At 36.2% G+C, this 26,237-nt stretch overlaps 1 protein-coding gene across 10 annotated transcripts in view; it reads left to right on the top strand.

Moving 5' to 3' along the window:
- RPS6KA6 (ribosomal protein S6 kinase A6) overlaps nt 1-26,237 on the top strand; it is a 130,154-nt gene extending 103,917 nt beyond the window's left edge. For 9 of the 10 annotated variants that reach the window (XM_047441997.1, XM_011530919.3, XM_017029425.2 and 6 more), the window contains 2 exons: nt 19,472-19,612; nt 20,181-26,237. In XM_047441997.1, coding sequence (XP_047297953.1) covers nt 19,472-19,612; nt 20,181-20,306 — 267 coding nt within the window. In that variant the 3' untranslated portion in view covers nt 20,307-26,237. The remainder of the gene's footprint in view (nt 1-19,471; nt 19,613-20,180) is intronic. The other variant, NM_014496.5, reaches the window with a different exon arrangement.

The raw sequence follows: 26,237 nt of genomic DNA, 5'->3' as shown, positions 1-26,237 counted from the left end.
TACGAAAACAGACACATAGACCAATGGAACAGAATAGAAACTCAGAAATAAGACTACACATCTACAACCATCTGATCTTTGACAAACCTGAGAAAAACAAGCAATGGGGAAAGGATTCCTTATTTAATAAAGGGTGCTGGGGAACTGGCTAGCCATATGCAGAAAATTGAAACTGGACCCCTTCCATACACCTTATACAAAAATTAACTCTAGATGGATTAAAGACTTAAATGTTAAACCCAAAACTATAAACACCCTAGAAGAAAATCTAGGCAATACCATTCAGGACATAGAAACAGGCAAAGATTTCAATGACAAAAATGACAAAAGCAGTTGCAACAAAAGCAAACAATTGACAAATGGGATCTAATTAAACTAAAGAGCTTCTTCACAGCAAAAGAAACTATCATCAGAGTGAACAGAGAGACTACAGAGTGGGAGAAAAATTTTTCAATCTATCCATCTGACAAAGGTCTAGTATTTACAATCTGCAAGGAACTTAAACAAATTTACAAGAAAACATTCAAAAGTTGTCAAAGGAGAAGAACAGACACTTCTCAAAAGAAGACATTTATGTAGCCAGAAATATAGGTAAAAAAGCTCAACATCACTGATCACTAGAGAAATGCAAATCAAAACCACAATGAGATACCATTTCACACCAGTTAGAATGGCAATTATTAAAAAGTCAAGAAACAACAAATGCTGGCAAGGCTGTGCATAAATAGGAACACTTTTACATTGTTGGTTGGAATGTAAATTTGTTCAACCATTATGGAAGACAGCGTGGTGTTTCCTCAGTGAACTAGAATGAGAAATACCATTTGACCCAGCAATCCCATTACTGGGTATATACCCAAGGGAATGTAAATAATTCTCTTATAAAGATACATGCGTACATATGTTCACTGCAGCACTATTTATAATAGCAAAGTCATGGAATCAACCCACATGCCCATCAATGATAGACTGGATAAAGAAAATGTGGTACATATATACCATGGAATACTATGCAGCCATGAAAAGGATGTTCTTTGCAGGGACATGGATATAGCTGGAAGCCATTATTTTTAGCAAACTAACTCAGGAACAGAAAGCCAGACACTGAGTATTCTCACGTATAAGGGAGCTGAACAATGAGAACCCATGGACACATGTCGGAGAACAACACACACTGGGCCCTGTTATGGGGATCAGGGGAGGCAGAGCCTCAGGATAAATAGCTAATGCATGCTGGGCTTAATACCTAAGTGACGTGTTAATCTGTGTAGCAAACCACCATGGCAGACGTTTACCTATGTAACAAACCTGCGCATCATGCATGTTTTTTTCTTGTAAAATTGTTTAAGTTCCTTGTAGATTCTGGATATTAACCCTTTGTCAGAAGGATAGATTCCAAAAATTTTCTCCCATTCTGTAGGTTGCCTGTTCACTCTGATGATAGTTTATTTTGCTATGCAAAAGCTCTTTAGTTTAATTAGATCCCATTTGTCAGTTTTGGCTTTTGTTGCCATTGCTTTTTGTGTTTTTGTCATGAAGTAGTTGCCCATGCCTATGTCCTGAATGATATTGCCTAGGTTTTCTTCTAGGGTTTTTATGGTTTTAGGTTTTACGTTTAAGTCTTTAATCCATCTTGAGTTAATTTTTGTGTAAGGTGTGAGGAAGGGATCCAGTTTCAGTTTTCTGCATATGGCTAGCCAGATTTTTTAATGCCATTTATTAAATAGGGAATCCTTTCCTCTTTGCTTGTTCTTGTCAGGATTGTCAAAAACCAGATGGTCGTAGATGTGTGGCATTATGTCTGAGGCCCCTGTTCTGTTTCGTTGGCCTATATATCTGTTTTGGTACCAGTACCATGCTGTTTTGGTTACTGTAGCCTTGTAGTATAGTTTGAAGTCAGGTAGCGTGATGCCTCCAGCTTTGTTCTTTTTGCTTAGGATTGTCTTGGCTATACAGGCTCTTTTTTGCTTCCATATGCAATTTAAAGTAATTTTTTCTAATTCTGTGAAGAAAGTCAATGGTAGCTTGATGGGAATAGCATTGAATCTATAAATTACTTTGGGCACTATGGCCATTTTCACGGTATTGATTCTTCCTATCCATGAGCATGGAATGTTTTTCCATTTGATTGTGTCCTCTCTTATTTCCTTGAGCAGTGGTTTATAGTTCTCCTTGAAGAGGTCCTTCACATCGCTTGTAAGTTCTATTCCTATGTATTTTATTCCCTTTGTAGCAAATGTGAATAGGAGTTCCCCCATTATTTGTCTCTCTTTTTGTCTGTTATTGGTGTATAGGAATGCTTGTGATTTTTGCACACTGATTTTGTATCCTGAGGCGTTGCTGAAGTTGCTTATCAGCTTAAGGAGATTTTTGGCTGAGATGATGGGGTTTTCTAAATATACAATAATGTCATCTGCAAACAGAAACAATTTGACTTCCTCTCCTCCTATTTGAATACCCTTTATTTCTTTCTCTTGCCTGATTGCCCTGGCCATAAATTCCAATACTGTGTTGAATAGGAGTGGTGAGAGAGGGCATTATTGTCTTGTGCCGGTTTTCAAAGGGAATGCTTCCAGCTTTTGCCCATTCAGTATGATATTGGCTATGGGTTCCTCATAAATAGCTCTTACTATTTTGAAATATGTTCCATCAATACCTAGTTTATTGAGAGTTTTTAGCATGAACGGGTGTTGAATTTTGTTGAAGGCCTTTTCTGGATCTGTTAAGATAATCATGTGGTTTTTGTCATTGGTTCTGTTTATGTGATGGATTACATTTATTGATTGGCATATGTTGAACCAACCTTACATCCCAGGGATGAAGCTGTCTTTTTCGTGGTGGATAAGCTTTTTGATGTGCTGCTGGATTTGGTTTGCCAGTATTTATTGAGGATTTTTGCATCTGTGTTCATCTGGGATATGTTGTTGTTTCTCTGGAAGGTTTGCTCTCAGGATGATACTGGCCTCATAAAAAGATTAGGGAGGAGTCCCTATTTTTCTATTATTTGGAACAGTTTCAGAAGGAATGGCAGCAGCTCCTCTTTGCATCTCTGGTAGAAGTTGGCTGTGAATTTGTCTTGTCCTGGACTTTTTTTGGTTGGTAGGCTATAATTACTGCCTCGAGTTTAGAATTTGTTATTGGTATATTCAGGCATTCGACTTCTTCATGGTTTCATCTTGGGAGGGTGTATGTTTCCAGGAATTTCTCTATTTCTTCTAGATTTTCTAGTTTATTTGTGTAGAGTTGTTTATAGTATTCTCTGATGGTTGTTTGTATTTCTGTGAGATCAATGATTATATCCCCTTTGTCATTTTTTATTGTGTCTATTTGATTCTTCTCTCTTTTCCTCTTTAATAGTGTGGCTAGCAGTCTATTTTGTTATTCTTTTCAAAAAACCAGCTCCTGGATTCATTGATTTTTTGAAGGGTTTTCGTGTCTCTGTCTCCTTCAGTTCTGCTCTTAGTTATTTCTTGTCTTCTGCTAGCTTTTGAATCTGTTTGCTCTTGTTTCTCTAGTTCTTTTAATTGTGATGTTAGATTGTCGATTTTAGATATTTCCTGCTTTCTCCTGTGGGCATTTAGTGCTATAAATTTCCCTGTAAACACTGCTTTAGCTGTATCCCAGAGATTCTGGTACATTGTGTATTTGTTCTCATTCATTTCAAAGAACTTCTTTATTTCTGCCTTAATTTCATTATTTACCCAGTAGCCATTCGGGAGCACGTTTTTCCCTTTCCATGTAGTTGTGTGGTTTTGAGTGAGTTCCTTAATCCTGAGTTCCAGTTTGATTGCACTGTTTTCCTAGAGACTGTTTGTTATGATTTCCATTCTTTTGCATTTGCTAAGGAGTGTTTTACTTTCAATTATGTGGTCAATTTTAGAATAAGTGTGATGTGGTGGTGAGAAGAATGTATATTCTGTTAATTTGGGGTGGAGAGTTCTGTAGATATCTATTAGGTCCGCTTGGTCCAGAGCTGAGTTCAAGTCCTGAATATCCTTGTTAATTTTCTGTCGTGTTGATCTAATATTGACAGTGGGGTGTTAAAGTCTCCCACTATTATTGTGTGGGAGTCTAAGTCTCTTTGTAGGTTTCTAAGAACTTGCTTTATGAATCTGGGTGCTCCTGTATTGAGTGCATATATATCTAGGATGGTTAGCTCTTTTTGTTGCATTGATCCCTTTACCATTCCCTTTACATCTTTGATGTCGGTGACCTTCGGATGGGGTTTTTGTCTGGACATCCTTTTTGTTGATGTTGATGCTATTCCTTTCTGTTTGTTAGTTTTCCTTCTAACACTCAGGCCCCTCTGCTGCAGGTCTGCCTGAGTTTGCTGGAGGTCCACTCCAGACCTTGTTTGCCTGGGTATCACCAGCAGAGGCTGCAGAACAGCAAAGATTGCTGCCTGTTCCTTTCTCTGGAAGCTTCATCCCAGAGGGGCACCTGCCAGATGCCAGCCAGAGCTCTCCTGTATGAGGTGTTAGGGGCACCTGCCAGATGCCAGCCAGAGCTCTCCTGTATGAGGTGTTTGTTGACCCCTGCTGAGAGGTGTCTCCCAGTCTGGAGGCACGGGGGCCAGGGACCTACTTGAGGAGGCAGTCTGTCCCTTAGTAGAGCTCGAGCGCTGCGCTGGGAGATCCACTGCTCTCTTCAGAGTAGGCAGGTAGGAACGTTTAAGTCTGCTGAAGCTGCATCCACAGCTGCCCCTTCCTCCAGGTGCTCTGTCCCAGGGAGATGGAGTTTTATCTATAAGCCCCTGACTGTGGCTGCTGCCTTTCTTTCAGAGATGCTCTGCTTAGAGAGGAGGAATCTAGAGAGGCAGTCTGGCTGCAGCAGCTTTGCCAAGCTGCAGTGGGCTCTGCCCAGTTTCACTTTCCGGGTGGCTTTGTTTACGCTGTCAGGGGAAAACTGCCTACTCAAGCCTCAATGATGGTGGACGCCCCTCCCCCCACCAAGCTCAAGTGTCCAAGTTTGACTTCAGACTGCTGTGCTGGCAGCGAGAATTTCAAGCCAGTGGATCTTAGCTTGCTGGGCTCTGTGGGGGTGGGATCTGCTGAGCTAGACCTCTTGGCTTCCTGGCTTCAGCCCCCTTTCCAGGGGAGTGAATAGTTCTGTCTTGCTGGCGTTCCAGGCATCACTGAGGTATGAAAAAGAAAAAAAAAAAAACTGCAGCTAGCTCAGTGTCTGCCCAAAAACGGCTGCCCAGTTTTGTGCTTGAAACCTAGGGCCCTGGTGGTTTAGGCACTCAAGGGAATCTCCTGGTCTGTGGGTTGCAAAGACGGTGGGAAAATTATAGTATCTGGTCTGGAATGCATCGTTTCTTATGGCTCAGTCCCTCACGGCTTCTCTTGGATAGGGGAGGGAGTTCCCTGACCCCTTGCGCTTCCTGAGTGAGGCGATGCCCCACCCTCCTTCAGCTCGCCCTCTGTGGGCTGTACCCACTGTCTAACCAGTCCCAATGAGATCAACTACGGGTACCTCAGTTGGAAATGCAGAAATCACCCACCTTTTGTGTTGATCTAGCTGGGAGCTGCAGACTGGAGCTGTTCCCATTCGGCCATCTTATCAGCCCTCAAGAACTTATATGCTAGACTGTTGAGTTTTTTTATTTTTTTTTAAGCAACTATAGTGGGGTAGAATTGATAACAAATGAAATGCATGTATAGTATATAGTGTTATGACATATATACACACCCATGAAACCATCATGAAAATCAAGATAATGAACATATCCATTACCACTAAACATTTCCTCATGCTGTTTTGTAATTCCCTCCCTCCTGCCCTATATCTTCAATTTATAATCTTCCACCCACCTCATTCTCTGGCACACACAGTTGTGCTGTCTGCCACTACGGGTTTGTATATTTTTTTAAATGTTTATAAATTAAATCATAAGTCTGCAGTCTTTTGATCTCTTTTATTTAATAATAATTTTGAGATTTATCTATGTTGTTGAAGTACAGCAATAGTTAATTCTATTTTATTGCTGGATAATATTTCTTTTTATGGATACATCATTGTTCATCTGTTCACCTGTTGATGGACATTTGTGTTGTTTTGTGTTGTTAACCAATAAAGCTGCTATGAATATCTATGTGCCAGTGGTTTTATGTGTGTATATCTTTTTTTTTTGTATAAATACCTATGAGCAGAATGATTGAGTCATGTGTTTAATGTTTTAAGAAACCACTCAATTGTTTTACAAATTATCTGAGCTATTTTACATTTTCACCATTAGCATATGAAAATTTTAGTTCTTCCACATCTTTGGCAACACTGGATATGATCCTTTTTAAAAAAATTAGCTATTTTAAAAGGTGTGTGATACTATTTGAAAGTAGTTTTAATTCGCATTTCCCTAGTGACTAATGATGTTCAGCATTTTTCATGTGTTTATTTGCCATCCATTTATCTTTTACCTTTCCCTTTTTCACTGGGTTTTTGAGTGTTAAATGCAAGTTCTCTGTCAGATCTATGCTTTGCAATTATTTTCTTTTTATGGATTGTCTCTTAATTCTCTTAAGTGTCTTTCAAAGAAGTCATTTCTAATTTGATAAAGATTATTCTTTTTCTTTCGTATATCATGTTTTTGATATTAGAGCTAATAAACTTTTGCCTTATGCAAGATTTCAAATACAGAGGTTTCCCAACTTATGATGGTTTGACTGACTGATGATTTTTTGACTTAGGATAGAGTGAAATCAATATACATTCAATAGAAACTCTACTTTGAACCTTTGAATTGTTATCTTTTCCTGGGCTAGCAATGTGCAGTAAAATACTCTTTGGCAATGCTAGGTAGTTGCAGCCAGCCACAGCTCCCAGTCAGCTATGTGATCATGAGGGTTAACAATCAGTAGTCTGTATTTTTCAAGGTGTAACCCCTTAATAAATCAGAGCATCTGTATTTTCCCCTGTGTTTTCTTTTAGAAGTTGTATCATTTTAGGTTTTATCTTTAGGTCAATGTTCTTTTTTGATTCAACATATATATATATGGTACAACATATGGTCAAAGTTCATTTTTACATGTGAATATGCAGTTGTTCCAGTACCACTTTTTGAAAATAATATCCTTTCTTCACCAAATTGCATTTGTATTTATATCAATTGTCCAAATATCCATGGTTCTGTTTCTACACTTCCTATTCTGTTTCACTGATCTACTTGTCTGTCTTTACACTATTACCATACTATCTTCGTTACTGTTGCTTTATAATTAAATTTTGAAATCAGGTACCATGAGTGTTTCGACTTTTTTCTTTTTCAGAGTTTTTTGAGTTTTTTTGTTGTTGTTTTGCTATTTTGGGTGCTTTGCATTGCCATATGAATTTTATAATCAGCTTCTCAATTTCTATCAGAAAAAGAAGCCTGCTAGGATTTTGAATGAGATGGTGATGGAGCTATAGATCAATTTGGGAAGAATTGACATTTTAACAGCATTGACTTTTCTTATCTATAAACACAGTATCTCTTTCCAGTTAGGTCTTTACTTTCTCTCAACAATGTTTTATACGTTTAAATATACAGGTCTTAAACATCTTTTATCATATCTTTTCCCCAAATATTTTGTTTTTAATATTAATGGCATTAAAATTTTATTTTCTTTTGTTGCTAGTATGCAGAAATGTGATTATATTGATCTTGTATGTTAGAAGCTTGCTAACCTCACTTATGAATTCTAGTAGCTTTTTTCTAGATTCTATCAGTTTTTCTACATAGATGGTAATAGTTTTTATAAGGACGTTTTAGTGCTTGATTTCTAATATGGATGTCTTTTTTCTTAATTTTCAATGGCTAGAACTTCCAGTATAGTGTTGTAGAAGTGGAAAGAATGCACATTCTTGTTTTGTTCCTGATCTTGAGTGTAAGCATTTATTTTTCACCATTAAGGATGATGTTAGCTGTGGGTTTTATATGGATGCTTCTAATTAGGTAAAAGTTCCATTTTGTTTCTGGTTTGATGAAAATTTGTATTGGAGATGAATGTTGGATTTTGTCTAAGCCTTTTCCTATGTCTGCTGTGATAATCACATGATTTTCTTTATTGTTGTTACATTGATATACATTTGAATTACGTTTATTTTCAAATGCTAAGCCAACCTTCTATTCCCAGGTTAAGTACCACTCGATCATAATAGACTATATATAGCTAAATTTGATTTGCTAAAATTTTCCTTACAATTTTTGCATCTGTGTTCATGAGGGATGTGGATGTACTATTTTATTGTAAGTATCTTTGTCTGATTTTGATATTGGTGTAATAGTGGTCTTAAATGAGTTGAGAAACATTCCCTCCTCTTCAAATTTCTGAAAAAAGTTATTTAGAATTAGAATTTCTTATTCTTAAATGTTTGTTGGGATTCATCAGTGAAGCCATCTGGACCTACAGTTTTCTTTGTTGGAAATATTTAACTATAAATTCAATTTCTTAAAAAGGTATATGGCTATTTCGGTTAGTTGTTTCTTCTTGAGTGAGCACTGGCATTTTTTTATTTCAAAGAATTTGTCCATTGTCAAACACATTGGCACAAGGTTTTTCTTATAATATTTTCTCACTAACTGGTTAATATCTGCTATTAACCACTGTAATCTATACTGATGTCTATTTTCTCATTTCAGCTATCATGGATTTGTGTATTTCTCTTTGCAGTTATAATGGTTTTTGCTTCATGTATTTTGACGCTTTGTTTTTACATGAATAAACATTTATAATTTTCTTCTCTTGATTACTTATCCCCTCTGTTATGAAATGACCTTCTTTATGACGTGTAATATTTGCCATTATTTTTGAAAGATATGTTCACACAATATAAAATTATTGGTTGACTTTTTTTCAGTATGTTAAATATGTTGCTCCATAGTCTTCCCATTTGAATTTTTTTTTTCTGACAGGAAATCTGTTGTTATCCTTGTTTCACATGTAACATGTCCTTTTTTCTCTAGCTACTTTTAAGGTTTTCTCTGTGTCTTGGGTTTTGAGTGATTTGGGTTTGATGTGCCTTGATGAAATTTTCTTGATTTTTCTTGTACTTGGGTTTTATTGACCTTATTGTATCTGTGAATTTATGGTTTTCATCAAATTTGGACATTTGGGGGCCATTATTTATTTAAATATTCTTTTCTGCTCCCAATTTTCTTCTGGGACTTCAACTGCATATATATATTAGACCATGTGAAGTTGTCTCACAGCTCACTCAAACTGCTCTTTTGTTGTTCTATACTCTCGTGTTTCTTTTTGGAAAGTATCTATTGTGTATATTTGATTTAGTTTCATTATTTATTATCTCACAGTTTTTATCTCTAGAAGTTTGATTTGAGGTTGTTTGTTTGTTTGTTTGTTTGTTTGTTTTGCGACGGAGTCTCGCTCTGTCTCCCAGGCTGGAGTGCAGTGGCGCAATCTTGGCTCACTGCAATCTCCGCCTCCCAGGTTCAAGTAATTCTCCTGCCTCAACCTCCTGAGTAGCTAGGATTCAGGGGTGCACCACCACGCCCAGCTAATTTTTGTATATTTAGTAGAGACGGGGTTTCACAATGTTGGCCAGGCTGGTCTCGAGCTCCTGACCTCATGATCCACCCGCCTTGGCCTCCCAAAGTGCTGCGATTACAGGCGTGAGCCACCATGCCCGGCCTTGAGTCTTTTTTTATATCTTCTCTATCTCTACTTAATTTCTGAACATCAGGAATACAATTATAATAACTATTTAACATCCTTGTCTGCTAATTCTGACATCTGTGTCAGTTCTGGGTCAGTTTTGATTGATTCTTTTCTTTCTCCTCATTTTTGTGCTTTTTGCCTGCCCACTAATTTTTGAGAAGATACCAAATACGGTGAATTTTACCTTGGTGGGTGCTAGATACTTTTAAATTCCTATAAGTATTCTATTTTCTTAATGTCAAATTTGTTTTTCTTAAGATTTATTTTTAATTAACACATAAAAATTGTACATATTTATGAGGTATAGTGTGATGTTTCAATACATGTGTATATTGTATGATGTTCAAATCAGGATAATTAACTTATCCATCACCTTAAACATTTAGCATTTCTTTGTGATGAAAACATTCAAAATCCTCTTTTTTAGCTGTTTTGAAATGTATAATACAGTATCGTTATTTATATTTACTCTACTCTGCAACAGAGCACCAGAACTTACTTCTCCTATCTGTCTATAATTTTGTACCCATTTGCTAATCTCTCCCCATCCCTCCCTCAACCCTAACCTCCTCATTCCCTAGTAACCACTGTTCTACTCTGTACCTCTATGAGATCAGCTTTTGTAAATTCCACAAATGAGTGGATCAGGTGGTATTTGTATTTCTGTGTCTGGCTTATTTTCTTTAACATAATGTCTTCCAGGTTTATCTATGGTGCCACAAATGACAGCATTTCTTTTGGCCAATAGTATTCCATTGTTTATATTTACCGCATTTTATAATCCACTATCTGTTGGTGAACACATAGGTTGCTTTTATATCTTGTCTATTGTGAATCGTGCTGCAGTAAATATAGGAGTGCAGATATCTTTTCAATATACTGTTCTCATTTTGTTTGGGTAAATAGCCAGTAGTGGGACTGCTGGATCATATGTTAGTACTGTTTTTAATTTTTTGAGGAAATGCCATGCAGTTTTCCATAGTGGCTGTACTAGTTTACATTCCCACCAATAGTATAGCGCATTTCCCATTTCTTTACATCCATGGCAGCATTTGTCATTTTTGTACTAGCCATTCTAATTGGGGTGAGATAATATCCCATTATGGTTTTGATTTGTATTTCTGTGATAATTAGTGATATTGAGCATTTTTCCATATACCTATTGGATATTTGTATTTATTCTTTTGAAAAAAAAAAGTCTATTTAGATTTTTTGACCACTTTTTAATCAAATTATGTATTTTTTTGCTATTATGTTGTTTGAATGTTTTATATATTCTGGATATTAATCCCTTTTCAGATATGTACTTTGCAAATATTTTCTACTATTCTGTAGATTGTTTCTTTCCTCTGTTGATTATTTCCTTTCTTGGGCAGTAACTTTTTAGTTTGAGGTAATCCCATTTGTCTATTTTTGCTTTTCTTGCCTGTATTTTTGAATTCTTGCCCAAAAATTCTTATCCAAACCAACGTCATGAAGCATTTCCCCCATGTTTTCTTCTAGTAGTTTTATAGTTTCAGGTCTTACATTTAAGTATTCAATCCATTTTGTGTTGATTTTTATATATGGTAAGAGATGTTGGTCTAGTTTTATTCTTCTGCATATAGATGTCCAGTTTTATTGGCACTATCTATTGAAGAGACCATCCTTTACCCAATGTGTGTTCCTGCTGCCTTTATTGAAAATCAGTTGGTTGTAAGAGCATCAATACATTTCTGTGTTGTCTGTTCTGTTCCATTGGTCTATATGTTTATTTTTATGCTGACTCCATCCTGTTTTGGTTACTATAGCTTTATAGAATACTTTGAAGTCAGTGTTATGCCTCCAGCTTTGTTCTTTTTGCTCAAAATGACTTTGGCTATTTGGAGTCTTTCGTGCTTCCATACGAATTTTATAATTTTTTCTATGTCTGTGAAGAATGCCATTGATACCTTGATAGAGATTGCATTGAATCTGTAGATTGGGTAGTATAGACATATCAACAATATTAATTATTGCTATTCATGAAAATGGAATATTTTTCCATTTATTTGTATCCTCTTCAGTTTCTTCCATCAGTGTTTTATAGTTTTCATTGTAGAGATCATTCACATCCTTGGTTAAATTTATTCCTCTCTATTTTTTTGCAGCTCCTAAATGGAATTGCTTTCTCAATTTCTTTTTCAGACTGTTCACTCTTGTCATATAGAAATGCTAGTGATTTGTGTATGTTGCTTTTGTATCCTGCAACTTTACTGCACTTTGTTTATTCTAACAATTTTTGGTGGCATCTTTAGTGTTTTCTATAAATAAGATAATGTCATCTGCAAATAGTAACAGTATTATTTCCTTCTTTCCAATTTGCATGCCCCTTATTTCTTTTGCCCAATTGTTCTGGCTAGGACTTCCAGAACTATGCTGAATAAAAGTGGTAAAAGTGGACATATTTGTCTTATTCCATATCATACAGGAAAAGCTTTCAACCTTCCCCTATTCAGTATGATATTAGTTGTGGGTTTGTCATACGTGACCTTTATTAAGTTGAGGTATGTTTCTTCTATACCTAATTTGTTTAATGTTTTTTATCATTAATGGATGTTGAATTTTATCAAATGCTTTTTCTGCATTTTAAATTTATCATATGGCGTCTGTCCTTGATTCTGTTGATGTGATGTATTATGTGTTAATTTGCATGTGTTGAACCATCCTTTTATTCCTGAGATAAATTATACTTGATTATGTTAAATGATGTTTTTAATGTGCTGTTGAACTCAGTTTGCTGGGGATTTTTGCATCTATGTTCTTTAAGGCTATTGGCCTATAGTTTTTGTTGTTGTGTTCTTGTCTGGTTAGAACAGTTGGGTTATTCTGGCTTCATACAATGAGTTTGGCAGGATTCTATCCTCTTTAATCCTTTGGAATTGTTTGAAAAGGATTGGTATTTGCTCTTAAGAATTCAGCAGTGAAGGCATCAGATGATGGGATTTTCATTGATGGGAGACTTTTTGTAACTGATTTAATCCTGTTACTTTCTATTGGTCTGTTCAGATTTTCTATTTTGTCCATTCAATTTTGGTAGATTTTATATATCCAGGAACGTATCAATTTCTTCTAGGTGTTCCAATTTGTTGGCATATAGTTGTTTGTAATAGTCTCATAGTTCTTTCTATATCTGTGGTATCAGTTGTAATGTCTTCTTTTCCATTGGATTTTATTTATTTCAATCATCTCTCTTTTATCTTAGTCCCATTAAAGGTTTGTCAATTGTGTTTATCTTTTCATAAAACCAACTCTTTTTCATTTATCATTTTTTTTATTCTCTATTTTGTTTATTTCTTCTCTGATGTTTATTATTTATTTTCTTCTAATTTTAGGTTTAGTTTGCTCTTCATTTTCCTATAAGTATGCTTGAACTTTATTCTGGGCAGCAGTTAAGTTACTGGAAACAGTTTCATACTTTTGGGTCCTCCTTTTAAATTTTTTTAGGCAGGACCAGACTAGTGTTTAGTCTAGGGCTACTCACTATTTAGGCAAGGTGCTTCTAAATACTCTGTAATATACTTCATCAATTATGATGTTTTCCATTTTGGCGGGTGGAAACAGGCAATACACCCCACCTGTGTGAGTCCTGATTTTCATCCAGTGCTTTCAGATAGTTCTTTCCAAGGTCTTGGGTTGTTTCCCCACGTCTTTATCAGTAGTAATCTGCTAGATAATTTAGTGAGACCTTTTATAGAGCCTTGTAATTCTCTCTCTCTGCTCCTCACACCCCTCTCATACCCTGTCCTGCTAACTATGTCTGCCTTGGTCTCCCCTGAGTCTCAGTTCTATCTCCTCAGTTCAAACCCACAAGGCTTCACCTGAGTTTCCCTTACCTGCACAGCAGCTAGAAAACTCTCTCAGGTTGGTAAGCTGAAGCAATCACAATGCTAACCTGATTGTTTCCCACTATTAGGAATCACTTTCCTTTATTGCCTAACATCTGATATCCTGAAAACTGTTGACATATTATATATTTTATGTTTTTTTTTAATTGGTTGTTTCGGGCAGATAGGTACATCCAGTCCTTGGTATTTCATCTTGACCAGAAGAAGAAATCCTTGGACTATTGAAATTTTTTCATTTTTCCAATAACCATTTAGGTTTGTTTCATTGAAATCATTGTTATCTTCTTTTTAGTATTAATTGTCCATTTATTTTTGCACATGTTTCCCCAGTATGGCTTTTGATTGGTTGCCCTAGTCCCTTACATGGTTTCAACCAATTACGTTATTCTTCAGAATCTGATAGTACTACTTAGAGTCTTTAGTTTCACTGCTTCTGTGATTGATGAAACGTTTGCATACGATGATTTTGTTTCTATATTAGAACAGTTTTTTTTTGGTTAATTTTACTTTAAGTTCTGGAATACTTGTGCAGAACGTGCAGGTTTGTTATATAGGTATACATGTGCCATGGTGGTTTGCTGCACCTAGCAACCCGTCATTCAGTTTTTAAGCCCCGCAAGCATTAGGTATCTGTCCTAATGCTCTCCCTCCCCTTCTCCCTAACCCCCGACAGGCCGCAGTTTTTAATGTTCCCCTCCCTGTATCCATGTGTTCTCATTGTTTAACTCCCACTTATGAGTGAGAATACCTGGTGTTTTGTTTTCTGTTCCTGCGTTAGTTTGCTGACAATGATGGTTTCCATCTTCATCCATGTGCCTGCAAAGGACATGATGGCTGCATAATATTCCATGTTGTATATGTGCCATTTATTCTTCATCCAGTCTGTCATCGATGGGCATTTGGGTTGGTTCCAAGTCTGTGCTATTGTAAATAGCGCTGCAATAAACATAAATGTGCATGTGTCTTTATACAAGAATGATTTATAATATTTGGGTATATACCCAGTAATGGGATTGCTGGGTCAAATGGTATTTCTGGTTCTAGATCCTTGAGGAATTGCCACACTGTCTTCCACAATGGTTGAACTAATTTACACTCCCACCAACAGTGTAAAAGCATTCCTATTTCTCCACATCCTCGCCAGCATCTGTTGTTTCCTGACTTTTTAATGATCACCACTCTAACTGGCATGAGATGTTATCTCATTGTGTTTTCAATTTGCATTTCTCTAATGAGCAGTGATGATGAGCTTTTTTTCATATGTTTTTGGCCGTATAAATGTTTTCTTTTGAGAAGTGTCTGTTCATATCCTTTGCCCACTTTTTGATGGAGTTGTTTCTTTCTTCTAAATTTGTTTAAGTTTCTTGTAGATTGTGGATATTAGACCTTTGTCAGATGGATAGATTGCAAAAATTTTCTCCCCTTCTGTAGGTTGCCTGTTCACTCCAATGATAGTTTCTTTTGCTGTGCAGAAGCTCTTTAGTTTAATTAGATCCCATTTGTCCAATTTGGCTTCTGTTGCAAGTGCTTTTGGTGTTTTAGTCATAAAGTCTTTGCCCATTCCTGTGTCCTTAATGGTATAATCCAGGTTTTCTTGTAGGGCTTTTATGGTTTTAGGTTTTATATTTAAGTCTTTAATCCACCTTGAGTTAATTTTTATATAAGGTGTGAGGAAAGGGTCCAGTTTCAGCTTTCTACATATAGCTAGCCAGTTTTCCCAGCACCATTTATTAAATAGGGGATCCTTTCCCCATTGCTTGTTTGTGTCAGGTTTGTCGAAGATCAAATGGTTGTAGATGTTTGGTGTTATTGCTGAGGCCTCTGTTCTGTTCCATCGGTCTATATATTGGTTTTGGTACCAGCACCATGCTGTTTCGGTTACTGTAGCCTTGTAGTATAGTTTGAAGTCAGGTAGCATGATGCCTCCAGATTTATTCTTTATGCTTATGATTGTTTTGGCTATATGGGCTCTTTTTTGGTTCCATATGAAACTTAAATTAGCATTTTCTAATTCTGCAAAGAAAGTCAGTGGTAGCTTGATGGGGATAACATTGAATCTATAAATTACTTTGGGCACTATGGCCATTTTCACGATATTGACTCTTCCTATCCATGAGCATGGAATGTTTTTCCATTTGTTTGTGTCCTCTCATTTCTTTGAGCAGTGGTTTGTGGCTCTCCTTGAAGAGGTCCTTCATGTCCCTTGTTAAGTTGTATTCCTTTATTCTCTTTATAGCAATTGTGAATGGGAATTTAACTATGATTTGGCTCTCTGCTTGTGTATTATTGGTGTGTAGGAATATTTGTGATTTTTGCACATTGGTTTTGTATCCTGAGACTTTGCTGAAGTTGCTTATCAGCATAAATAGTTTTTAGGCTGAGACGATAGGGTTTTCTGAATATACAATTATGTCATCTGTGAACAGAGACAATTTGACTTCCTCTCTTCCTATTTGAATACCTTTATTTCTTTTTCTTGCCTGATTGCCCTGGCTGGAACTTCCAATACTATGATGAATAGGAATGGTGAGAGAGGGCATCCTTGTCTTGTGCTGGTATTCAATGGGAATGCTTCCAGCTTTTGCCCATTCAGTATGATATTGGCTATGGGTTTGTCATAAATAGCTCTATTTTGAGATATGTTTCATCAATACCTAGTTTATGGCGGTTTTTAGCATGAAGTAGTGTTGAATTTTATTGAAGGCCTTTTCTGCGTCTATTGAGATAATCGTGGTTTTTGTCATTGGTTCTGTTTATGGAAAGCATTTAGCCCATTTACATTGAAAATTAATATTGTTACGTGTGAATTTGATCGTGTCATCATGATGCTAGCTGGTTATTTTATACATTAGTTGTTGTAGTTTCCTCATATTGTCATTGGTCTTTATATTTTGATGTTTTTGCAGTGGCTGGTACCAGTTTTTCCTTTCCATATTTAATGCTTCCTACAGGAGCTCTTATAAGCAGACCTGGTGGTGACAAAAATCTCACAGCATTTGCTTGTCTGGAAAGGATTTTATTTCTCCTTTGCTTATGAAGTTTAGTTTGGCTGTATATGAAATTCTGGGTTGAAAATTCTTTTCTTTAAGAATGTTGAATATTGACCCTCACTGTCTTCAGGCTTGTAGGGTTTCTGCAGAGAGATCTACTGTTAGTCTGATGAGCTTCCCTTTGTAGGTTAACCCGACCTTTCTCTCTGGCTGCCCTTAACATTTTTTCCTTTGTTTCAAACTTGGAGTATCTGATGATTATGTGTCCTGGGATTGCTCTTCTCAAGGAGTATCTTAGTGGTGTTCTCTGTATTTCCTGAATTTGAATGTTGGCATGTCTTGCTAGGTTGGGGAAGTTCTCCTGGATGATATCTTGAATTGTGTTTTCCAACTTGGTTCCATTCTCCCCATCACTTTCAGGTACATCAGTCAATCGTAGATTTGATTCACATAGACCCACATTTTATTGGAGGCTTTGTTCGTTCCTTTTAATTATTTTTTCTCTAATCTTCATGTTTTGTTTCATTAATTTGATCTTCAATCTCTGATATCATTTCTTCTACTTGATCAATTCAACTATCCATACTTGGGTATGCTTCACGAAGTTCTCTTGCTGTTTTTCAGCTCCATCAGGTCATTTATGTTCCTCTCTAAACTGGTTATTCTAGTTAGCAGTTCCTTTAACCTTTTATCAAGTTTCTTGCCTTCCTTGGATTGGGTTAGAACATGCTCCTTTAGCTCAGAGGAGTTTGTTATTACCCACCTTCTGAAGCCTACTTCTGTCAATTCGTCAATATCATTCTCTGTCCAGTTTTATGCCCTTGCTGGAGAGGAGTTGCGATCATTTGGGGGAAAATAGGCATTCTATTTTTTGGAATTTTCAGCGTTTTTGTGCTGGTTTTTCCTCATTTTTGTGGATTTATCTGCCTTCGATGTTAGAGGCTAATGACTTTTATATGGAGTTTTTGTGTGGGAGTTATTTTTGTTGATGTTGAAGTTGTTGCTTTCTGTGTGTTAGTTTTTCTTCTAACAGTCTGGCCCCTATTCTGCAAGTCTGCTGCAGCTTTCTGGAGGTCCACTCCAGCCCCTGTTCACCTTGGTATCACCAGTGGAGGCTGCAGAACAGCAAAGATTGCTTCCTACTCCTTCCTGTGGAAGCTCCGTCCCAGAGCGGCACCAGCCTGATGCCAGCTGGTGCTCTCCTGTATGGTGTGTCTGTTGACCCCTGTTGGGAGGTCTCTCCCAGTCAAGAGGCACAGGGGTCAGGGACCCACTTTAGGAGGCAGTCTGTCCCTTAGCAGAGCTAGAGCACTGTGCTGGGAGAATCGTTGTCAGGATCAGCTGCTCTCTTCAGAGCTGGCGGGCAGGAAAGTTTAAGTCTGCTGAAGCTGCGCCCACAGTTGCCCCTTCCCCGAGGTGCTCTGTCCCAGGGAAATGGGGTTTTATCTATAAGCCCCTGACTGGGGCTGCTGCCTTTCAGACACGCCCTGCCCAGAGAGAAGGAATCTAGAGAGGCAGTCTGGTCACAGCCGCTTTGCTGCGCCATGGTAAATTCTGCCCAGTCCAAACCTCCCGGCCCCCTTAGCATTGTCAGGGGAAGACCGCCTACTCAAGCCTCAGTAATGGTGGACACCCCCCCGCCCCCGCCGCCACCAAGTTCAGTTGTCGCAGTTTGACTTCAGACTGCTGTGTTGGCAGTGAGAATTTCAAGCCAGTGGTTCTTAGCTTGCTGGACTCCGTGGGAGTGGGACCCACTGAGCAAGACCACTTGGCTCCCTGGCTTCGGCCTCACTTCCAGAGGAGTGAATGGTTCTGTCTCGCTGGGATTCCAGGCACCACTGGGTTACGAAAAAAAAAAAAAAAACTGCAGCTAGCTCACTGTCTGCCCAAATTGTCTCCCAGTTTTATCCTTGAAACCCAGGACCCTGGTGGTGTAGGCACACCAGGGAATCTCCTGATTTGTGGATTGCAAAAACCATGGGAAAAGTGTAGTATCTGGGCTGGGTAGCACAGTCCCTCACAGCTTTGCTTGGCTGAGGGAGAGAGGTCCCCTGGCTCCTTGCACTTCTCATGTTGGGCGATGCCCCACCCTACTTCTGCTCACCCTCCGTGAGTTGGACCCACTGGCTAACCAGTCCCAGTGAGACGAACTGGGTACCTCAGTTGTAAATGGAGAAATCACCCACCTTCTGCTTTGGTCTCACTGGGAGCTGCTGACCGGAGCTGTTATTCGGCCATCTTGCCAGATTCTCCGAAAATGCTTATTAAGGAGTTTACTTCTCATTTCTCTAAAAGATACTTGGGAGAGACAGTTTATTTAAAAGTATTACATCTCTTAATATATTGAAAACTTTTCCTGTGAGGTTATATTAAATTTACAACTTTTTTAATTGCAACAGAGATAACATAAGCAAACGTACACTTACTTTGATGAAAAACTTAAAATGCACTGGGGACTACTATGATAGAAGCCACTTGCTAACATTGGATTTATGGTTTGCTTTCTTAATATGTTATATAGTAAGCCACCATTTATTGAATGGATTAACTACATGGGACCCTCCCTTCTATGTTTTATCTGTGTACACATACCCTTACACCTTGGGGCCCAGCTTAACAGCAAAGTTCAATAGCTCCTGTCTCCTGCTGAACATTTAGCATATTCCAGGATAACTTCTGCCATTTTACATTTTCCTCCTCCGTCACTAATCACACATCCAATTCCACAGATTTGGCATCTTCCGATTTAAAAGTGGTGTATAAGGATTTAGTATATATTGAAAAATATCTCTCAAGATTCTCTTGAGAGTTAACTGTGTAGAGTATAGATTTTACTTTGCATAAATGTAGGTGAAATAAACAGATTGCAAGGCTATTGATGCTGTCACATTTTCAGCAAATGTAAAATTATGTATGTATACATGTATATATATATACACACACATTTTTTTTAATTTAGGATTTGCTTTCCCATATGCTTCATATGGACCCACATCAGCGGTATACTGCTGAACAAATATTAAAGCACTCATGGATAACTCACAGAGACCAGTTGCCAAATGATCAGCCAAAGAGAAATGATGTGTCACATGTTGTTAAGGTAAAACAAACATACTTTTATGTGCCTTCGAGATATCAGATACCTAATAAACCCATTGTGTGCCACTTGCTGATGACACTTAAATAATTCCTTAAAATATCTTTATTTTTTAAAGATAGATTTTTTTAAATTAACAACCATGTACTTTTCTTAGCTTACTTTACTACTGCCTTTCAGATGAAACAATAAAAATTTCTTGATTGTACCTGCCGTGCTTTTGAGAGATGCTGGAATTAGGATTGGGCTAAATGCAAGTTTCATATTGAAATAAAAGATTGCTGTTAGTTCTTAATTTATAACTGTTCGTGAAACCATTCCTATATCCATATACATTGAATCAAGGTTTTAAATGTTAGTGTTTTAACAATTTTTTGTAAAAAGCATAGTTATTGAAATGAAAAACATACAAGTAATATTGATTCATCAGTGCACAGATCTAATATATTCAATTATTTTCCTAGGAAAACATTTTGTTCTAGATATATGTCTCATGATATCATGTGAAAGTTTTTTTTTTTTTTAACTCCAGAATTTGTACTTAGTTTGTGGCATTTTCTCATTACTTTAGGGAGCAATGGTTGCAACATACTCTGCCCTGACTCACAAGACCTTTCAACCAGTCCTAGAGCCTGTAGCTGCTTCAAGCTTAGCCCAGCGACGGAGCATGAAAAAGCGAACATCAACTGGCCTGTAAGATTTGTGGTGTTCCTAGGCCAAACTGGATGAAGATGAAATTAAATGTGTGGCTTTTTTCCTATTCTTATCAAAGGCATCGTTGTCTGCTAAATTACTTGAATATTAAGTAATATTAAATCCCCATTTTTAGGGGAAGTGAGATTTAAAAAACCATTCACAGGTCCACAATATTCATACTATGTGTTTGCAGTAGTGTTCAAGTGTTTATTTAAGCATATAATTGGTGTCCACCAGGTCCTCACAACTTCTCTGCACACAAGCTTCTAAAATTCCTTTCAAATAAAGTTACTTTAATATTTTTTTTCTTGTTTCATACAATTATGGTTTGGGGAGTCATTACCAACAATCAGTATACATATATAATAGTATAATGACAAGCAATGTTAGTATTTTTAAACATCAGATCCTGAAGGATAGGCTTTTTCTAATGAAAGAAAAACAACAAAAACTTATTATAAAAGCTTGTTATTCCGTAAAACCAAAGGACTCCATTCATTTGACTCACTGTAGTTACTAAAATGTAAACATAGTGGTTTGGTGCCAGAGCAAAATACATTTGTGCTAATATATGAATTCTTGATATAGTTGGTGCCAAAGTTTTTATAGAAGAATTATATCTCAGATAATGTGTGCAGGCAGATCTGTATATTATCCATAATAAGTGGCCTCATTTAGAAATAAAGGTTTTTATAAGGCTTCTGTAAATTTTACATCATGGAAATTTAGTACAAGTGAAACTTTTTTTTTTTCCAAAGGCTTTATACTGTTGGTGTAATCTTATAAATAGGTCATAGTTAAGCCTTTGAAAATGAAGTATGTGGTGTTGACACTATCCTGGTGTTATATAAACTGACTTTCAAGTTAACCAATTGGATTGTAATCATCATCTATCCCCTTTATAAATGAACTACACTGTTGTTTTTCTGACTTCGATGTGCTTTGAAGTACAGTGTAGCATATCATTCTACCTTGAATCCTATGATAATACAGTTGACATCTTGCTGTAGTGGACTTGTGCATATAGCACACATGATATAGTATATTGTATTACAGTAAACTTTAGACAATGCTACTTAATCATTTTACTTCATGAAGATAAACTAACATTTTAAATATGAATAATATTAATGGTCTACAAAAAATTTGAGCACATTTTAAAATCATATTTATAAAAAACTGGCCAAATTGGTCTTATTTAATGTATAATTCAGAACCACTGTGTAGTATGTATTCTTTTCTCTAAATGATGAAATGCTAAAGAATCATTTCACGTTGTTGAAGAAAATACCGTTGCTACAACAACAGCAGCAGCTACTACTGCTACTACTACTACTACTACTACTACTACTACTACTACTGACAGAAAGAATTCATGAATGTAAACTGGAGGATATCACAGTTTTCTTTAGTGAATATAAGTGAACTACTTGTGCGTGTTAGGTGTACTATTTGCTATGTATTTTATTTTGCTTTATTCAGAGAGAAAGTTGATTACTGAGTGCTGAATTATACAATTTAGGCTAGGAAACTCGTAACTTTGGTATTTAATAAAAGAAACTATACATATTCTGTTTGTAATGTAAATAATCTATACCCCATGCACAAATATCTGTTTCCTGGGTGTGATATATTAAAGTATGTATTCTTATTTTGAGGTATCTTTTGGAAATAATTGAAAGAGATTAAATAACAATTTATGCCACATGAAAAATAATTACTTAGAAGTAGTTAGGTATCATGTCTTATGGCTTTTTATGTTCCATTTTGGCTTTTTTTCTCATTTGCTTTATTACTATATGTACTTGCATGTAACAGTTTGTAAGCATATATTCTGACTTATTTTCCTTCTGTCATTATCTAGTGCTGTTATGCCTTCCTATCAGAATCGATAAGTCAAACTCAGAGGTGTGATTTTGGTGTTGAAGTTTTCAGGACAGAGATACTATTTCCATGGATGCATTTTAAGTAATAAAATTAGGGGAAGTGAAATCAGAAAATGAAAAATGATTACAAAATAACTTTCAGGTTTTCTATAATCAATGGCTTTAAAAAGTAGACAGTCTTAATTAATTTTAAATTAGCTTGCTCAGAAAGGTCATGCCATACAGTCCTATCATAAAAGGAACACTATAAGAATTAAGCAATGAACAGCATGATTTCTGATCACCCAGTGAGGACTGACAGTGTATAAAAGATACAGGTATGCTACTGGATGTACCCGATAATTGTTTGAGAGTTTTCTAGTGAAAAACTCAAATATGCTAGCTTAACCACAGTAGTAGGGGGCAACCTTATTATATGGGAGAGCTTCAAAACATACTGTCATTTTGTAGAAGGAGCCCAGGTAAGGATGCCTAATCCTGTCCAGTTTGGCTAGAACTCCATAGCCAAAAATGCAGATTTGGATTGAACATTTTTTTGATGGGACTTCTATCAATGCTTAACTAGTAAAAACACATCTTTTCTATAAGACTTTAGAATACTGTGGTTTCTAATGGGTTCTTGAATAATGATTTTGCATTGTGTTTTTCTAGTTAATGGTTTTTGGTAGTATTTAATGATAGCACAGTTTGGGGTTTTATTGTTCTTGAAGGGGGAGGATATTGAATTTGTTTTTCTTAGAGAAAACATCAGGTTTGCTCAAATAGACTAACAACCTGTTGTCCTTAAGCACATACTACCATGAATAAACTCAGGAAACAATTTTCAAGAAAATTCGAATGCAGTGCTGGTGATGGGGATTTTTGTGGGAAAAAACAATGGTTTCAAGTCCTTTCACAAAGATCAAACTTCAGCCTATTTTGTTAGACTCAGCAATGTCTAAAACAGTGTTTTTTGTAATTTATTGTCATTGGTAATTCAATATAATAAAACAATTTTGATAGCACCTCTGTTTGGCTCAAAGGGATTCCATATGTTTAGGCAACCCACAACCTTAAGAACAGATGCTTGGTATTTATAATGTCTGCCCATTGGAACAACATGTTAAAATAGTACTGCCCAGAGAAACTTCCATACAGATTGACTAGTATTTTCTAGATAGAGGTCTTTCATATATGAAGAAGGAAAACAACCATTTATCTTGGCCCTAAGGCCCACAAGAAAACTTAGGCTTTAAAGTGGGCAAAGCATATTTGTGGTATTCTGTACATTCTCTTTCTCCTGGCTTTCCAGCCCCTTCATGCTATCTATCTTATTTGAGCACCTCACAGCAATACTCCATCAACGAAATTTACCCTATCCCCAGAAGGATTCTGTGTGATCCTTACTCCTTGTTCCTTCCTCTTCCTCTTCCCCAAATCAGGATATCCATTCTATCAGAACAGACATTTCCAGCTAAAAAGGTGAAAGGAAAGCTATCTTATTAAATTAATTTACATTTTTCTGTCAGTGGCTAATAGTTAATTGGCATTTTTTAAGGAAGTTGTGCATTAATCAAGTTTTTAGTTGCTGGATCTTCAGGCAATCTAACAAGGTGATAATTTTAAATTCAGTTCCTATCACGGAAAATATTTTGGGGGAAAGGAACAGTGTGTCCCAGGGTCAGAGTATCTAATAAACTGTTTCTTTTTTTGCACAATTTCCTTCCTACTTCCTTTCTACTTCTCAATCTACCTTTTCTCTTAAAAACTTTTAAACTTTTTAATCACAATGAACTTCTATGACAAAATGATGTGGAGGTAGACAGAGATTGGCGATTATTTCTGTATATGTTGTTTTTAAACCCATAGTTTTGTATTCTTGTTTCTCACAGTACATGACCTATATAGCATAAGAAGTTTTATTCCCCCCACCCCCCATCCCATTCCTGTTATAAAGAAAAAAAAAAGCACAGAGAGATTGAATCCAAACTACTCATGGAGTCCAAATTTTTCCAGATCCCTTTTCCAGATTTTAGGACCTAGAAATCCTTTAAGTCACAATGTTATTTCAAAAAAAAAAAAAAAAAAATGCAAGCCATATTAAGTATATATTGGCCAACTGCAATTAAACTTCTTTAAAACATTTTTGTTTTACATTTCAAAGCTTATTCAGGCATTTTTGGCATGTACCTCAAGATCAATGATTGTTGAAATTAGCAGAATAAATCAATAGTGGGCTATTTGCCTTTTTATGTGGGAATATAGTGGCATTGATAGTGATTATTCACAACATACATTATACTCATGGATGCACTGTTCCTGGTTTTAGTCTTACAGTGTAGTGAATTCCATCATATACTTTCAATAAAATGTTATGCTTGATCACCTAAAATTCAGTTTGGTTGCTAATACATAAGAGAAAAGGGAACTATACTTGAATATATTAAATTATAGACATAAGTTTCTTTGAAATATTTAGAAAAACAAAAGTTTTAGAATATGGAAATCCAAGCTTACATTATATTGGCAAATTATGTATGTTTCAATTATTCACTAAATAAATTTTAGCTAAATGCTTATAAATAAATATATATATGTAATTGCCAAGTTAGGGTTTGCTTTGTATTCACATTTCTAAACGCTGGACAATAGAGCTTCTGTGGATGACTGTTTTGCTGTAATTCCAACTGTCTAGTTATGGGAACTAATAATTTATTCTTCAAAAGGTATTAAGCATTTAATTTTACGTGGACAATTATAGAGAATGTACTAACTGCATTCGTTTATTAAAAAATTGTCAAAATGTGACTGATTAGGTTACTTTTATCTTTCCTATGAACTAATATTGCTCAGGTCACATTTTCTTTCTCTTTCCAAATTCATTCTCTCTGAAATTGCTGCTTATAACAAATATGTAGTGTTTTGTTTTTTAGTATGATAAAATTATTTTTAACAGCAGGAAAGCAGTCTATCAAGAAACAGCCGGCCGGGCACAGTGGCTCATGCCTGTAATCCCAGCACTTTGGGAGGCCGAGGCGGTGGATCACCTGAGGTCAGGAATTCGAGACCAGCCTGACCAACATGGAGAAACCCGTCTCTACTAAAAATACAAAGTTAGCCAGGTGTGGTGGCGCATGCCTGTAATCCCAGCTACTCAGGAGGCTGAGACAGGAGAATCACTTGAACCTGGGAGGCAGAGGTTGCGGTGAGCCGAGATTGTGCCAATTTCACTCCAGCCTGGGCAACAAGAGCGAAACTCCGTCTCACAAAAAAAAAAAAAAAAAAAAAAAAAAAAAAAGAAAAGAAACAGCCATTTAAAAAGTTACACATTAAACCTTAAATATCCAAATTCCAGCATGGTTTGTAAGTTAGAATTTATCTTGCATTAAATTCCATAGTACAAAAAAAAGGAGAAGGTGGTTTTTCTGTTTGATAAAAAAAAAAAAAAACAGGAAGTACTGTTGGTAGTTGGGAGTTACATAGGCTTTATGAAGCAACCACAGTTTGCTATAGCCACATTTTTTAAAAAATTGGTTTGCCAACACATCCCAAGCACTTTTGAATTCCTAAACTTATTTCTGATATTAAATATATATGTATATACTGACATTTCATTGCATTTCTGAAGACTGAAATGGCATTAAATAAAAGTTGTGTGTGAATTTGATTTACGTGTACTTAAAAACTTCAAAGCTGCAGTTAAACAATCCCCAGTGTTCAAAAACTATTTTATTGTTCTGACTATATTATGAATTTTATGTTACCATTTATTTTATTAATGTTTTCTTTAAACCATTGGTTTTTTGACATTAAAATTTTCATTTATTATACTAAGTTTTTTATCATGTAAGACCAAATCCAGTAGTTCATTTTACAATGTTTCTTTCTCTCACAATGCTGCTAAAGAAATGGCTATCATTTTGAATTTACAACATGCCAAAGAAGACATAGAAGTTATATTTATTTTTGTTCTTGTTAAAACTCTGTGAGCAACAGTTCTCAAGATATGTTAAATTACTGGCATTCTCTGGGTACCAAATAAAAAGGCTGCAACTTTCTAACATTTT

Source organism: Homo sapiens, chromosome X (genome assembly GCF_000001405.40).
Source record: "Homo sapiens chromosome X, GRCh38.p14 Primary Assembly".
NCBI classification, from domain to species: Eukaryota; Metazoa; Chordata; class Mammalia; order Primates; family Hominidae; genus Homo; species Homo sapiens.
This window is presented reverse-complemented; position numbering and strand designations above follow the sequence as displayed.